Source organism: Homo sapiens, chromosome 8, assembly GCF_000001405.40.
Source record: "Homo sapiens chromosome 8, GRCh38.p14 Primary Assembly".
NCBI lineage: Eukaryota > Metazoa > Chordata > Mammalia > Primates > Hominidae > Homo > Homo sapiens.
The window spans coordinates 33,355,377-33,373,517 of NC_000008.11; the positions used below are offsets into that span (position 1 = coordinate 33,355,377).

The following is an 18,141-nucleotide window of genomic DNA, read 5'->3' on the forward strand; positions in this document are numbered from 1 at the left end:
TTTTCAGGAGTATTGCAAAAAAAATTGCAGCAGCCTCCATCGATTGATTTAAATGCTGATCTGTTCTGAAAACTCCCTCACAGACACACCTAAAAATAATGTTTTACCAGCTACCTAGGCATCCCTTAGTCCAGTCAAGATGATATAAAATTAACCATCATGCATTACCATAAACCAACTTGGGTTTGAAATTTGGATCTGCCAATTGTTAGTTATATAAACTGGGATGTTATATTTATATTGATATGTCCTGCTTCATCATCTCAGACAATAACAACACATTTATTTTTTTTTTGGTTTTATTATTATTATACTTTAAGTTTTAGGGTACATGTGCACAATGTGCAGGTTAGTTACATATGTATACATGTGCCATGCTGGTGTGCTGCACCCATTAACTCGTCATTTAGCATTAGGTATATCTCCTAATGCTATCCCTCGCCCCTCCCCCAACGCCACAACAGTCCCCAGAGTGTGATGTTCCCCTTTCTGTGTCCATGTGTTCTCATTGTTCAATTCCCACCTATGAGTAAGAATATGTGGTGTTTGGATTTTTGTTCTTGCGATAGTTTACTGAGAATGATGATTTCCAATTTCATCCATGTCCCTATAAAGGACATGAACTCATCATTTTTTATGGCTGCATAGTATTCCATGGTGTATATGTGCCACATTTTCTTAATCCAGTCTATCATTGTTGGACATTTGGGTTGGTTCCAAGTCTTTGCTATTGTGAATAGAGCCGCAATAAACATACGTGTGCATGTGTCTTTATAGCAGCATGATCTATAGTCATTTGGGTATATACCCAGTAATGGGATGGCTGGGTCAAATGGTATTTCTAGTTCTAGATCCCTGAGGAATCGCCACACTCACTTCCACAATGGTTGAACTAGTTTACAGTCCCACCAACAGTGTAAAAGTGTTCCTATTTCTCCACATCCTCTCCAGCACCTGTTGTTTCCTAACTTTTTAATGATTGCCATTCTAACTGGTGTGAGATGGTATCTCATTGTGGTTTTGATTTGCACTTCTCTGATGGCCAGTGATGGTGAGCATTTTTTCATGTGTTTTTTGGCTGCATAAATGTCTTCTTTTGAGAAGTGTCTGTTCATGTCCTTTGCCCACTTTTTGATGGGGTTGTTTTTTTTTTCTTGTAAATTTGTTGGAGTTCATTGTAGATTCTGGATATTAGCCCTCTGTCAGATGAGTAGGTTGCGAAAATTTTCTCCCATTTTGTAGGTTGCCTGTTCACTCTGATGGTAGTTTATTTTGCTGTGCAGAAGCTCTTTAGTTTAATTAGATCCCATTTGTCAATTTTGGCTTTTGTTGCCATTGCTTTTGGTGTTTTAGACATGAAGTCCTTGCCCATGCCTATGTCCTGAATGGTAATGCGTAGGTTTTCTTCTAGGGTTTTTATGGTTTTAGGTCTAACATTTAAGTCTTTAATCCATCTTGAATTAATTTTTGTATAAGGTGTAAGGAAGGGATCCAGTTTCAGCTTTCTCCATATGGCTAGCCAGTTTTCCCAGCACCATTTATTAAATAGGGAATCCTTTCCCCATTGCTTGTTTTTCTCAGGTTTGTCAAAGATCAGATAGTTGTAGATATGCAGTGTTATTTCTGAGGGCTCTGTTCTGTTCCATTGATCTATATCTCTGTTTTGGTACCAGTACCATGCTGTTTTGGTTACTGTAGCCTTATAGTATAGTTTGACGTCAGGTAGCATGATGCCTCCAGCTTTGTTCTTTTGGCTTAGGATTGACTTGGTGATGCAGGCTCTTTTTTGGTTCCATACGAACTTTAAAGTAGTTTTTTCCAATTCTGTGAAGAAAGTCATTGGTAGCTTGATGGGGATGGCACTGAATCTATAAATTACCTTGGGCAGTATGGTCATTTTCACAATATTGATTCTTCCTACCCACATTTATTTTAATATGAGTGTCTATCTTTCCTATCTCCAAAAGGTTTTGATCTTCTTTTCTAACTATTCTAATAAATCTAAGAATTTTAGGGGCCTATTAGCCCAAGGAGTTGTTCTTGGTTACAGAGAGAAAACTAAAAAAATTAATTGGTACATTAGAAGACCCCATTCTCTACCACCATTATCCTCTTGCAAATATATATATATATATGTATGTGTGTGTGTGTATACATATATGTGTGTATATATATATACATATATATGTGTATATATCTATATTTCTCTCTGTATATACCTCTTAAGTTTTCTTTTGTTTTCCCCTATTCCTTTTCCTCCTATTTTTCTCCTTCTCTTAATTCTCTCAATCCCAAAAATTTGTTGTGCATGCACATACACGTGCACATACACATGCAGAACTACATAAAAAACTGTCCTGTAGACCTAGGTGTTAAAGCCTGAGTCACCACCCCAGACTCTGTTTTCCCAAATAATCTCCACTCATACGCAGCTGGTCTCCTCTCCAACAGGCAGCCTCCATAAGTGTCTCTTTAGTCCATTAGAGATGTTCTAATACTGTTGAACCTCAGAAAAGAAGGGGGTCCATGAACCTAATCATGAGAAGGCAATCAGATAAATCTACATTATGGAATATTCTACAAGACAAGGCTGGGCACAGTGGCTCACACCTGTAATCCCAACACATTGGGAGGCCAAGGCGGGCAGATCACTTGAGTCCAGGAGCTCAAGACCAGCCTAGGCAACATGGCAAAACCTCATCTCTCTATATAAAAAATACAAAAAAATTAGCCAGGTGTTGTGGTGTGTTTCTGTAGTCCCAGCTACCTGGGAGGCTGAGGTGAGAGAATCACCTGAGCCCAGGAGGTCTAGGCTGCAGTGAGCCAGGATGGTGCCATTGCACTCCAGCCTGGGCAACAGAGCAAAACCCTGTCTCAAAAATAAATAATAAATAAATTTTAAAAAGGGATATTCTGTAAGATAAATGTTTTTGACTCTTCAGAAATGTCAGTGTCATAAAAGACCAAAACCACAGTGACACAAAGTAAAACAGGAGAACTGGTCTAGATTAACAGAGGGATGTGTAAAAAATACGTGCAATTCTCAATTGGAAAGAAAAAAGAAATATAGCAAATCATCATGGGGCAATTAGAAAACTGTAAATATGGACTGTGTATTAAATAATAGTATTGTATCAGTGTTCAATTTATTAGGTGCAATAATGCTCTTGTGATTCCTTAGAAGAATGTTACTATGGTCAGAATGTTTGTTGCCCTCCAAAATTCATGTTGAAATTCTAACCTGCAAGATGATGGTATTAGGAGGTGTGGCCTCTAGGAGGTGATTAAGTCATGAGGATGGAGCTCTCATGAATGGGATTAGTGATTAGTGTCCTTATAAAAGAGACCCAGAGTGCTGGGCTCGGTCTGTAATCCCAGGACTTTGGAAGGCTGAAGCAGGAAGATTGCCTGAGCTCAGAAGTTTGAAACCAGCCTGGGCGACATGGCAACACCCCATCTCTTAAAAAAAAAAGAGAAGGAGACCCCAGAGAAACTCTCACTCATTTTGCAATATGAGGTTATAGCAAAAAGAGGGTTGTTTATGAACCAGGAAGCAGTCCCACACCAGACACCAAATCAGCTGGCACCTTGATTTTGGACTTCCCAGCCTCTAGAACTATGGAAAATAAGTTTCTTTTCTTTATAAGCCACCCAGTATATGACATTTTGTTATAGCAGCCTGAATGAACTAAGACAAATCACAGAAGATGGAGGGGTGAATTGTTACAATGGCTGCAACTTACTTTCAAACAGCAAAAAAATAAAGAGAAATTAAAAGCAATGATGCAAATGTGGCAAGATATTATCAATTGGTGAATCTAACTGAAGAACATTCAAGTGTTATTTATAGTATTCTTACATCTTTTTTGTACTTCTTAAACTTCTTCAAAAAAAGATGTTGTGGGAAAATGGGTTTTGTAAGGTGAGGAAGAAGGATCTCTAAGCCTCAATAATTTGCTTTCCAAGAGTTTATGGCATCTATTCTCAAATTGCCACTTCTTCCTATAATTGACTTTTAACTTTTCCATAACTAAGATGTTTGGTGAAGGCACTATCTTTTCCAAACACAGAAAATTACTCCCACCCTATAGAACAAAGGGAGCCTCAGTGCCTTAAATCACCATATGTAAAGGGCTTGCACAAGAGGTTCCAGCTAGAGTTCAGATCATCTCCACCAAGAGGCTTTGGATGTACTCTACCACCACAAAAAGAAACTATTGGCAAATCTTAACTATTGACTTCTCACAATGAAAAGAAGTTTAAAATTTCACCCCACCATAGCTATATTATTTTAGTTTTATTTTGTTTAGTATTATAAAAGCAAGAAAATAAAAAACTATCTACCTCAGCCAGGCACAGTGGCTTACACCTATAATCCCAGCACTTTGGGAGGCCGAGGTGGGCAGATCACCTGAGGTCAGGAGTTTGAGACCAGCCTGGCCAACATGGTGAAACCCCATCTCTACTAAAAATACAAAAATTAGCCAGGCTTGATGGCACACACCTGTAATCCCAGTTCCTCAGGAGGCTGAGACAAGAGAATTGCTTACACCCGGGAGGCGGAGGTTGCAGTGAGCTGAGATCACGCCACTGGACTCCAGCCTGGGCAAAAGAGCAAGACTCCATCTCAAAAAAAACCAAACCAAACAAACAAACAAAACAACAACAAAAAACAAAACAAACTATCTACCTCAAATGGTAATTGTGTCCGATAAGTGCCATTATATATGACAGAATCCAGCAAAGTACCTGGCACACAGGGGACCCTTAATAAATATCAGTAACCGGCCAGATGTGGTGGCTCACACCTGTAATCCCACCACTTTGGGAGGCCGAGGCAGGCGGATCGTGAGGTCAGGAGATCGAGACCATTCTGGCTAACATGGTGAAACCCCATCTCTGCTAAAAATACAAAAATAATTAGCCGGGCGTGGTGGCGGGTGCCTGTAGTTCCAGCTACTTGGGAGGCTAAGGCAGGAGAATCACTTGAACCCAGGAGGCGGAGCTTGCAGTGAGCCGAGATGGTGCCACCGCGCTCCAGCCTGGGCAATAGAGTGAGACTCCATCTCAAAAAATATAAATAAAAATAAAAATAAAATAAATAAATAAATATCAGGAAACTTTTTTCTTATCCAAGGATCCCATCACCAGAGAATGTTTCTGAACATAGTGGTACTGAAACACCTTTTCCTCCCCTACACCCCCTATAGCTCAAGTGACCACACATCCCAGTTTATGCCTATTATTCTGGCTTAACCAATAGCGCCTCTTCCACTCTCAGAGTGCCCCAACTTGGATGATAAATTATAAGGTCCCTCTACCTACTGTTTTATTCTTTCCAGAAAACGTATCCTGCTAAAAGGCACAGAGAGCTGCATGGTCTTTCTGAATAAAGGCTACAAAAATGTGTCTTCAATGGCAGCCCTAGAGTCACTGCAAAAATAAACACACAAGCAAACAAATGGGGAGGGGGTGCCCCAGCAGACACGTTTTAATTTTATTGCGGAAGTGATGGAAGTGGTTCATCACTTACAGGTTAACTACACATTTGAGGTGAATTTTAGACCACAGAAACAGGAAGTAGTAAACATCTGTGATGAAACTTTGATACTTCAAGATGCTTGTCTTAGGGACCAACATTCTCTCAGACTAGCAGATTATTTCCATGGTGAATGAGTCTTCTTATTAATGGTGTGTGAACTATATACATGATGACTGAAAGCAGCTCATAAGATAAAATTCATCACCTTTTCTGAGGCACTGAGGCTGAGTAAATATTGACTCACCCCAGCCTCTCTACTTAAGGTGAACAGATGTGGATTGGCTGGAGCAGAACTGTTTGCCCCTGTGGACTCACCATAGTTATTTTCATCCCCCAAGTCAGTTCTTAAATCGCCCAGTGTTGACAGAAAAAAATGCCTCCTCTCCCGGGGAACAGGAATAAACACTGGTATAAAAATTAAAAGGACTTATTCTGGACTTGCCAGCTCACTTCAAATGTGAACTTTTAGTACTTTTAACACATCTCATTAATAATATAGCCCATTTAATATACTCTATAAATACAATCCACTTGTATCACATTTCATGTTTCAAATAGAGTGACAGAGATTCACGAGGTAAATTCTATCATATGAGGCGTCCACAAAACAGAGAAATAAAAGCTTCCTTGAAGTGGTTTACATTTTGCTAAAGCATTTCTGTTATAATTCCACACTAGAATTAGAATGTAAGCCCTGTGGTGGCAGCAATTTTGTGACTTCCATTCATTGCTATATCCCATTTGCCCAAAATAATTCCTGGCACATAGTAAATGCTCAATAAAAATATATAGAATACGTTAACAAATTTCAGGCAGTTTAATATTCTGAGTAATGCAAAATAATCATAATTTCCTTGATAGGTTTTTAAGGCATTTTTCATGTTCCTGAATACATTTTTTTCCGTGTTTCCCAATTGAAAAACCAAGACTTCTTTTCACTCATTGATCGATAGCTGTGGTTATCTTTTATCTTATTCCAATTTTCAAATTTAAAAAAAAATGATTTTTAAAATCTTCACTTAAGAGCAGTCCCAAGACACGTAATTGTCAGATTCACCAAACTTGAAATGAAGGAAAAAGTGTTAAGGGCAGCTAGAGAGAAAGGTTGAGTTATGCACAAAGGGAAGCCCATCAGACTAACAGCAGATCTATCGGCAGAAACCCTACAAGCCAGAAGAGAGTATGGGCCAATATTCAACATTCTTAAAGAAAAGAATTTTCAACCCAGAATTTCATATCCAGCCAAACTAAGCTTCATAAGTGAAGGATAAATAAAGTCCTTTACAGACAAGCAAATGCTGAGAGATTTTGTCACCACCAGGCCTGCCTTACAAGAGCGCCTGAAGGAAGCACTAAACATGGAAAGAAACAACCCGTACAAGCCACGGGAAAAAAAAGGCCAAATTGTAAAGACCACCAATGCTATGAAGAAACTGTATCAATTAACAGGCAAAATAACCAGCGAACATCATAATGACAAGATCAAATTTAAACATAACAATATTAACCTTAAATATAAATGGGCTAAATGCCCCCATTAAAAGACACAGACTGGCAAATTGGATAGAGTCAAGACCCATCAGTGTGCTGTATTCAGGAGACCCGTCTCACGTGCAAAGATGCACATGGACTCAAAATAAAGGGATGGAAGAAGATCTATCAAGCAAATGGAAAGCAAAAAAAAAAACCAGGGGTTGCAATCCTAGTCTCTGATAAAACAGACTTTAAACCAACAGAGATCAAAAGAGACAAAAAAGGCCATTACATAATGGTAAAGGGATCAATTCAACAAGAAGAGCTGACTATCCTAAATATATATGCACCCCATACAGGAGCACCCAGATTCATAAAGCAAGTCCTTAGAGACCTACGAAGAGACTTAGACTCCCACACAATAATAATGGGAGAGTGTAACACCCCACTCTCAATATTAGACAGATCAATGAGACAGAAGGTTAACAAGGATATCCAGGACTTGAATTCAGCTCTGCACCAAGCAGACCTAATAGACATCAACAGAAATCTCCACCCCAAATCAACAGAATATACATTCTTCTCAGCACCACATCATGCTTATTCTAAAACTGACCACATAATTGGAAGTAAAGCTCCTCAGCAAATGTAAAAGAACAGAAATCACAACAAACTGTCTCTCAGACCACAGTGCAATCAAATTAGAACTCAGGATTAAGAAACTCACTCAAAACCGCACAACTACATGGAAACTGAACAATCTGCTCCTGAATGACTACTGGTTAAATAACAAAATGAAGGGAGACATAAAGATGTTCTTGGAAACCAATGAGAACAAAGACACAACGTACCAGAATCTCTGGGACACATTTAAAGCAGTGTGTAGAGGGAAATTTATATCACTAAATGCCCACTAGAGAAAGCAGGAAAGATCTAAAATCGACACCCTAACATCACAATTAAAACAACTAGAGAAGCAAGAGCAAACAAATTCAAAAACTAGCAGAAGGCAAGAAACAACTAAGATCAGAGCAGAACTGAAGAAGATAGAGACACAAAAAACCCTTCAAAAAATCAATGAATTCAGAAGCCGGTTTTTTGAAAAGATCAACAAAATTGATAGACTGCTAGCAAGACTAATAAAGAAGAAAAGAGAGAAGAATCAAATAGACGCAATAAAAAATGATAAAGGGGATATCACCACCGATCCCACAGAAATACCAACTACCATCAGAGAATACTATAAACACCTCTATGCAAATAAACTAGAAAATCTAGAAGAAATGGATAAATTCCTGGACACATACACCCTCCCAAGACTAAACCAGGAAGAAGCTGAATCTCTGAATAGACCATTAACAGACTCTGAAATTGAGGCAATAATTAATAGCTTACCAACCAAAAAAAGTCCAGGACCAGATGGATTCACAGCCGAATTCTACCAGAGGTACAAGGAGGAGCTAGTACCATTCCTTCTGAAACTATTCCAATCAATAGAAAAAGAGGGAATCCTCCCTAACTCATTTTATGAGGCTAACATCATCCTGATACCAAAGCCTGGCAGAGACACAACAAAAAAAGAAAATTTTGGACCAATATCCCTGATGAACACTGATGCGAAAATCCTCAATAAAACACTGGCAAACCGAATCCAGCAGCATATCAAAAAGCTTATCCACCATGATCAAGTTGGCTTCATCCCTGGGATGCTAGGCTGGTTCAACATACACAAATCAATAAACATAATCCATCACATAAATAGAACCAACGACAAAAAACCACATGATTATTGCAATAGATGCAGAAAAGGCCTTTGACAAAATTCAACAGCCCTTCATGCTAAAAACTCTCAATAAACTAGGTATTGATGGAATGTATCTCAAAATAATAAGAGCTATTTATAACAAACCCACAGCCAATATCATACTGAATGGGCAAAAACTGGAAGCATTCCCTTTGAAAATGGGCACAAGACAAGGATGCCCTCTCTCACCATTCCTATTCAATATACTGTTGGAAGTTCTGGCCAGGGCAATCGGGCAAGAGAAAGAAATAAAGGGTATTCAATTAGGAAATGAGGAAGTCAAATTTTCCCTGTTTGCAGATGACATGATTGTATATTTAGAAAACCCTATCGTCTCAGCCCAAAATCTCCTTAAGCTCATAAGCAACTTCAGCAAAGTCTCAGGATACAAAATCAATGTGCAAAAATCACAAGCATTCCTACACACCATTAACAGACAGACAAATCATGAGTGAACTCCCATTCACAATTGCTACAAAGAGACTAAAATACCTAGGAATCCAACTTAAAAGGGATGTGAAGGACCTCTTCAAGGAGAACTACAAACCACTGCTCAATGAAATAAAAGAGGACACAAACGAATGGAAGAATATTCCATGCTCATGGATAGGAAGAATCAATAGCGTGAAAATGGCCACCCAAAGTAATTTATAGATTCAATGCCATCCCCATCAAGCTACCAATGACTTTCTTCACAGAATTGGAAAAACCGACTTTAAATTTCATATGGAACCAAAAAAGAGCCCACATTGCCAAGACAATCTTAAGCCAAAAGAACAAAGCTGGAGGCATCATGCTACCTGACTTCAAACTATACTACAAGGCTATAGTAACCAAACAGCATGGTACTGGTACCAAAACAGATATATAGACCAATGGAACAGAACAGAGGCCTCAGAAATAACACCACACATCTACAATCACCTGATCTTTGACAAACCTGACAAAAACAAGAAATGGGGAAAGGATTTCCTATTTAATAAATGGTGCTGGGAAAACTGGCTAGCTATATGTAGAAAGCTGAAACTGGATCCCTTCCTTACACCTTATACAAAAATTAATTCAAGATGGATTGAAGACTTAAATGTTAGACCTAAAACCATAAAAACCCTAGAAAAAAACCTAGGCAATACCATTCAGGACATACGCATGGGCAAGGACTTCATGACTAAAACGCTAAAAGCAATGGCAACAAAAGCCAAAATAGACAAATGGAATCTAATTAAACTAAAGAGCTTCTGCATGGCAAAAGAAACTACCATTAGAGTGAACAGGCAACCTACAGAATGGGAGAAAATTTTTGCAATCTACCCTTCTGACAAAGGGCGAATATCCAGAATCTATAAAGAACTCAAACAAATTTACAAGAAAAAAACAACCCCATCAAAAAGTGGACAAAGGATATGAACAGACACTTCTCAAAAGAAGACATCTATGCAGCCAACAGACACATGAAAAAATGCTCATCATCACTGGTCATCAGAGAAATGCAAATCAAAACCACAATGAGATACCATCTCATGCCAGTTAGAATGGCGATCATTAAAAAGTCAGGAAACAACAGATGCTGAAGAGGATGTGGAGAAATAGGAATGCTTTTACACTGTTGGTGGGAGTGTAAATTAGTTCAACCATTGTGGAAGACAGTGTGGCAATTCCTCAAGGATCCAGAACTAGAATTGCCATTTGACCCAGCCATCCCATTACTGGGTATACACCCAAAGGATTATAAATCATGCTGCTATAAAGACACAGGCACATGTATGTTTATTGTGGCACTATTCACAATAGCAAAGACTTGGAACCAACCCAAATGTCCATCAATGATAGACTGGATTAAGAAACTGTGGCACCGTATACACCATGGAATACTATGCAGCCATAAAAAAGGATGAGTTCATGTCCTTTGCAGGGACATGGACAAAGCTGGAAACCATCGTTCTCAGCAAACTATCACAAGGACAGAAAACCAAACACTGCATGTTCTCACCCATAGGTGGGAATTGAACAATGAGATCACTTAGACATAGGGCAGGGAACATCACACACCAGGGCCTGTCGGGGATGGGAGGCTGTGGGAGGGATAGCATTAGGAGAAATATCTAGTGTAAATGATGAGTTGATGCGTGCAGCAAACCAACATGGCACATGTATACCTATGTATCAAACCTGCACGTTGTGTACATGTACCCTAGAACTCAAAGTATATTAAAGAAACTTCACTTGTAGAACTTTTCAACTAAAAAAAAAAAGTATTTAACTTGTAAAAATTGCTGTCTCCAGTACTTAACACTTCCTTCTTTAGAATTATAAAAACAAATGATAAACAAACTAAAAACATTATTCCATGTCATTATTTCTGCATTTATTCAGTGTCAACAGTAACATTTGTTAATATTACCACCAATCTCCTCAGGAAAGTCTTTTAAGTATTGCAAAGTTGTCAAGCTCAATGTGGTGGATATTCGTTTTCCAAAATTTCACTTTTCGCTTGAAAGCTGAGATTTTTATCATTGGCAACAAATTCTGTCTCTTAAAGTGACAGGCTCACTTTGTTTTCACAAAAATTGTTGACAAAAACACAAGACAGAGTAAGCATAGTTTGTCAGATTTTTTTAAGTAAAAATAGTATTCCATGGAAAAAGCAGCAAGTTCAGCTCACAACTCAATCACACAAGCACTGTGAGACTCCTGTTATACTATGATGTGTAGCACAGGTATTTTACTCTTATTTTTGTCACACAGAATATTAAAAAGACATGCACTGGCCGAACATGGTGGCTCATGCCTGTAATCCTAGTACTTTGGGAGGCCAAGGTGGGTGGATCACCTGAGGTCAGGAGGTCGAGACCAGCCTGGCCAACAAGGAGAAGCCCTGTCTCTACCAAAAAATAAAAATAAATAAATAAATGTTGGGAACAAGTCCCCCAAAATCTGGACATAAACTGGCCGCAAAACTGGCCATAAACAAAATCTCTGCAGCACTGTGACATGTTCATGATGGCCATAACGCCCACGCTGGAAGGTGGTGGGCTTACCGGAATGATGGCAAGGAACACCTGGTCCGCCCAGGGCAGAAAACCGCTTAAAGGCATTCTTAAGCCACAAACAATAGCATGAGCGATCTGTGCCTTAAGGACATGCTCCTGCTGCAGTTAACTACCCCAACCTATTCCTTTAATTCGGCCCATCCCTTCGTTTCCCGTAAGGAATACTTTTAGTTAATTTAATATCTATAGAAACAATGCTAATGACTGGCTTGCTGTTAATAAATACGTGGGTAAATCTCTGTTTGGGGCTCTCAGCTCTGAAGGCTGTGAGACCCCTGATTTCCCCACTTCACACCTCTATATTTCTGTGTGTGTGTCTTTAATTCCTCTAGTGCTGCTGGGTTAGGGTCTCCCCAAACAAGCTGGTCTTGGCAAATAAATAAATAAATAAAAGACATGCACTTAAAGGTCAAGATTTAATAAAATTCATCATTTTTATTGCTTCACTAAGGGCATTCTTATGTAAAACTGGCTTTTTTTTTTCCCCATGAGTGGACTCATCAGATGAATTTACTCCATTTATATAAGAAGCAACTTACGTTACATTCATTCCAAAAGTTCTTGGGATAATATCCTGACCCAAAAGCATTAATATTACCCCCTACATACAGTAATGGTTTTTAAATATAATTACTTTCATAATCAGTTTTTTTTAATTTAGAAGCTTAAATTTTCAAATATTCATAATGGCCTATTTGGGCTAGTTGAATCATCTTCTCTGGTAAGCTGGGTTGGATGATGTGGTTATGGTTTGCATGGGAAATAAAATAAACAATAAATTTTTGACCTAATGCTCAAAATGCCCTTGGAGGCATTAATCAATTCCAGTTCTGACTCATTTCAGAGGCTTAGAGACAGTAATTTAACTGCTCATGTCACTGTTCCAGGAGGATACAAAGGGGCAAGGGTATATAGCAGAGAAGAAGCCTCAGGAAGATAAAAGAAGGTATCTGCTGGTCATGACTGGTCATATCCTCTTTGGGATACAGCCACACCTCTGACTGACCAGAGGCTTGGCTGTTAAGTCCAATGACTCGAGAGGACAATAATCCTAAAGAGTCACTTCTCCTCAAACACCTCTATCCCTTGCCGATCTCCTTAATTGGGCCTACTACCAGCACCAATGGTGTTGCTAAATTAATTGGTTTAATCCCAGGATATAGATGAGGCCACATTTTACTAGTGAAAAAGGTTAATATGACTTAAAAGTAAGCTCCCATGCATTGTACTCCATATTCTTGCATCCATATCACATGGACAGCAAGAGAGGGCTTGTCTCCTAGGAGAAAGGCTGCTCAGGCTCCTCTTCTTCTCCTTCTTCAGTTGATCTTCAGTATGAGCAAGCAGGGTCAAGACCTACAGATCTAGGCATTTTTCTCTCCTCTTTCTTATTGCAAGCACATTGAATAGACTAGTCCCAAGATTCAGAATTGGGAAATGGAAAGGCAGTAAAAGATCCTCTCCTAGTTACACTTCAAATCTAAATAATATGCTCAGATCCAGCTTATACAATCAATCAGTGTACTGCATTTATGTGGTTTGCAAAGCTACTATAAAGAGGCTGTTTGAGTCTGATTATCCTATTGAGAGCTTTGTGCAAGACTCCACCAGAAATCCCATGGAGGGTGGGAAGAGTCAGAGAATAATTTAAGCATTCCTCAGTCCTTGGTTTTAATACCATCATAATATCAAAAAGCCCTACTCAAAACCCTTCACACCTCTCTCTCCTGTGTCTTATTCCTATCAGCAATGGCGCCTAGTACAATGCCTATTTTGTAACACAATAAATGTGTACCACCCCAGGTACTATCATCAACGATTCCCTTTTTCTGGACAAATCTCAGTCAAGCTCTTCAAACACAAAGGGTAATGACCACAGATAGCTGTAACCACTACAACAAGCATCTATTGAGCAAAGTGAACACTAGCTCATCACAATAACCTCACAAGGAGGTTGGATATTATAACATCCATTTTACAGATGAGCAAGCTGAATCTTAGAAAGGCCATATAACTTGACCAAGATAATAAAGACAGTATGTTGCAGAGTAGCAACTAAAACTAGATTATTTCTTAGAGTCATCATTCTATATCCCCTTTGAGTTTTTCAAGCATTTTTATGTCTGTAATCAAAGACAACAAGATATATGCTGATATTAGAATTACACAGTAAAGATATTACCATTAACAATAAAAATTAAAAGAAAGAAATTTCCTAAAGAAAATTTCCATAATTTATATTTTGCTCCAGAACTGTGAGCAATAAACTTCTGTTTCTTATAAGCCACCCAGTCTATCGTATTCTGTTACAGCAGCCTGAGGTCCTAATGAATTGCCATCTTTAGCAGGACTTATGTCCTATTAATGACTTTTTTAATGCACATTTTACTGGGCATTTTACTGGGCAGGTCGGCACTGTGCTTGAATTCATACAGTCTTTTATAGATATTGAGCAGGTTCTTCTATGTGTAATATACAATGTGTGGCTGAAGGAATGATGTTCATTTTTGCTTATGTCTCTTATTTCTGAGTAATGCATAGAACACTATATGTTTCCAATCTATTACTAACAATGATAATGACCCCAACTGATATTCTGGTTACTAGAATCTAGTCCTTAACAGCAACAAAGAAGCCATTCAGCATTCAGGTTCCAAAATATATTTGCTATATGATCAAGGGTAAAAGTTGCATTCATTTTTAGGCGAAGACTATTAACTAGCATTAGTGATCATTTTCTCCAACATTTCTGAAAAGGCTTCTGACCACTTTGTAATATTGCTTTTAAAAATTAGTCATTGAATGGCCAGGCGCAGTGGCTCAGGCCTATAATCCCAGCACTTTAGGAGGCCGAGGTGGGTGGGTCACTTAAGGGCAGGAATTCAAGACCAGCCTGGCCAATATGCTGAAACCCCATCTTTACTAAAAAAAAAAAAAAAAAAAAAAAAAAAAAAAAAAAATTGTCCAGGCCTGGTGGCAGGTGCCTGTAATCCCAGCTACTTGGGAGGCTGAGGCAGAAGAATCGCTTGAACCCAGGAGGTGGAGGTTGCAGTGAGCTGAGATCGCACCACTGCACTCCAGCCTAGGTGATAGAGCAAGACTTCTTCTCAAAAAAAATAAAGTTCTTGAAAACAATCCAAGTAAAATGTACTGAAGGGCTAAGCAAAATGTTGCATTGTACAAACTCCTTCACAGCCATGAGGCATTCCTCAAAACAGTCCTGTGAGGGACGTTGCTTTCTTAAAATATTTCACAAAAGGAGACAGTGAGGTAAAGTGAAAGGTATGGCAAAATGGGATCAACACAGATTAATGATTTTATTTCACTAAATTTGTTCAGGGATACATACTTCAGAAACGCTTAGAGAGGATTTTATCTATGGACTTGATGAAGAACTAAGATGGAATGAGATTTCATGAAAGTTAAGGTTTAAGACATACACACAGCACATAAGCACTGGGTATTTGCTGAAGGCATTTATGGAGAAGAACTGAAGTTATCATGATAATACCTTGCCAGAGGCATAAATCACCTCTCAGGCTTTCTTTTGAGGGTTCAAAAAAACACAACTCACTTCATTTTATATGCAATTTAAAATCTGACCTTTAACAAGGAATCCCCCTTTCCAGTCTTTATTTCTTTAATATTATCAAATAAAATGGCAGAGAGAGAAATTCCCTTTCATCCTCAATACTACCCATTAAGTATGCTCCTTCCTCCAAACAGCGTGCTTCCCTTGAATAACATACAGCAGTTCCAAAATAGTTTGTTACCCTCTTTAGTAAAAACATCTACAAAATTAAATTTCTTAAATGTTGATGAACAATGAAGAATGTTACACAGGGGAAAAAAAAGAAAAAAACCTTCCAAGACCAGCCCAATCACTTCTTTTTGGATGCAAAAACTAAGGCCGATGGAGGTTAAGAGATATGTCCAAGATCATATTTAGTTAATGAAAGAGCTGGGATTGGGAAGAACCCAGTTATAGACACCTTCTCTCATCCAATGTGATCCTTCTGGCTTCTATAAGGAGGTATTGGTTTTGGTTCTCCTTTCTCACACGCTGGCTGACAAAGCCCAGCCAGAGCTACCTAATGAAGACGCTGCTCACTGCTAAGCACACCAAGGGCACAGCCTTCAATACAATGAGAGCTGATGCTAAGCAAGCACTCGTCAATTCCCCCTCATGCCATGACACAGACATGAGCATCACAGACTCTTCCTGTCCTCTGGCTGCCTTCTGAGGCTTGTGGCTTTCCATGATGAAGAATGGAAATCATGACACAACAGTGGCAACAGGCTTTTAGTATCATCTAGAAACCTCCCCTCCCTCACATGGAAAGAAAACATGAGCCAGTGTTTTCCTCCTTGTCTTCTGAGGTGCTCCAGTAGATGCCCCAGACAGGAGAGCTGAACCTTCCCTATAGCAGGATCCGAAATGACAGGAAATGCCCACAAACTGAATGCCTGTGGCTGCCACTGTGACAGGCTGCACATCATCCTACGAACAGACAAATCAGCTTCAGCACAATTGGAGTTCCTGGGGGTATTCACTTCTACTCTCGCGCTGCTCAAAATGTCCAGGCTGTCCAGCCTGAATCATAAGCATAGCAATTCTTAATATTATTCTGCGCAGCAGAAGGGGTAAGTGGTAACATCTCACTAATCAAAACACACAGGAGTTACTGTGTCTTTACAAGACATTCTACTTTGAAGGGAAAATGGGAGGCGATAGGGCAAGGCACAACTAAAGAAAGTGAGAGAGGTGGCTCAGGGTATGGAGAAGAAGGTAGACACACATAAGTTCTTTTCACTTGAAGAGTGGATAGTGGATAAACTTGAAACAGCTTTTATTACTCACTTACATCCCTGGAAACCAACAGATGGGATCTCTCATTGCCAAGTTCTAATGTATTTCATGTTCATGCTCGGCTGCAGGATACCAGGTTTGCCAAATACCAATAAGCTGTTGAGAGTGAGGTGAGTATCAAGAATCTATAGCTAGATCGTCTCCCTCCATTGCACAAGGAAAGTACTCACTCTAGGTGAATTTCCACAAAAGGCAGTAAGTATGTGGGTCCACAGACACGGACATGGAAGATAACCAGTGTCCATAAGAAATATTTCCTTTTTTAGTATAAAAAATATAGTGGCTACCCCTAAGGGTAATTTACATCTATTCCTTGAAAGGGCTCATTATGAGTACTGCAGCAACTAATTATTATCCTGATGGATAGTCAACAGAATAGCTATTATGTTCAAATATTAAGGCAACCTAGAAAATAAACCTCAAGAAGGCTCTAGTCTGTTTCATTCTGATCATTTTTGAAATCAGTCCTTGAATACTAGGCCCCAAAACTCTTGAGATGAAAAGTTTTGATTCCTATCAACCAGCCACCTTAGTGCCTGGGCTTCTTTCTTGGATTGTTCAAAGCTGGAAATCCACATCTCTCGCAAAGAGCTCAAAGGTGGAGTCCGGAGTGGTGAGAAAGCAAACACTGTGGGCTCTGGGCAACTCAGGTGGGTATCTTCTGCCTCCCATCTTTTGGGTGGTAAGCCCTGCAGGAAGAGAAAAGAGAAATGAATTAAAAACATATGATAATGAAGCACAATTCCCTTAAAGCAACAGACTTTCCTTAAAACAACAGCTTTACTCCATGGAGCTAAAGGGGAAAGAAAGCATCTCACATATTGCCTCACTTAATTCTTATGGTAAGCATATTGAATAGGTGCTACTACCCCATTTTACAGGAGTGGAAACTAAACCACAAAAAAGTTACATAAATTGCCCCAAACAGTATATACTTAAGATCGAATATAGTTCTCTTTAGATTCTAAAGCCTTCCCCTCCCTCTGGTTATTTATCTGTTGATTTGTTTATTCCTTTTCCCCCTATTATCCCACCCCTATCCTCCTCCCCATAGGCAAATATTTTAAGATGTTTAACACAGTTCTTTGTATTTGCATGTAAGCGTATTCGAATACTCATTGCAAAATGTGTTCTCAATCTCTGGGCATTTATTTTTAATATACTTATATGTTATTGTATGTCTCATTTGTTTGCTACTTTTCACCAAGCACTGTTTTTACATCTATCTATGTTGTCACATATTACAACTAATCCCTGTTTTTAATATATTTCCACTGCACTCAACTGTCCCCAGTACTAAGATGTTTCCACCCAACAATAATGGTACCTGACATTGGCATAATACCTCCCAGCTTCAAAATGCTGCAATGAGCTTGGTCCACGCTCAGTCTTGGCTTATTTC

At 39.0% G+C, this 18,141-nt stretch overlaps 1 protein-coding gene across 8 annotated transcripts in view; it reads right to left on the minus strand.

Annotated features, from left to right (window-relative positions):
- Nucleotides 1-18,141, minus strand: part of POFUT3 (protein O-fucosyltransferase 3) — a 165,086-nt gene that overhangs the window by 47,316 nt on the left and 99,629 nt on the right. For 4 of the 8 annotated variants that reach the window (XM_011544677.4, XM_011544676.4, XM_047422325.1 and 1 more), the window contains one exon: nt 17,268-17,428. In XM_011544677.4, the coding sequence (XP_011542979.1) occupies nt 17,268-17,428 (161 nt within the window). Of the gene's footprint in view, nt 1-5,462; nt 17,429-18,141 lie in introns of those variants that run through there. The other 4 variants (XM_047422326.1, XM_011544679.4, NM_032664.3 and 1 more) reach the window with 2 other exon arrangements.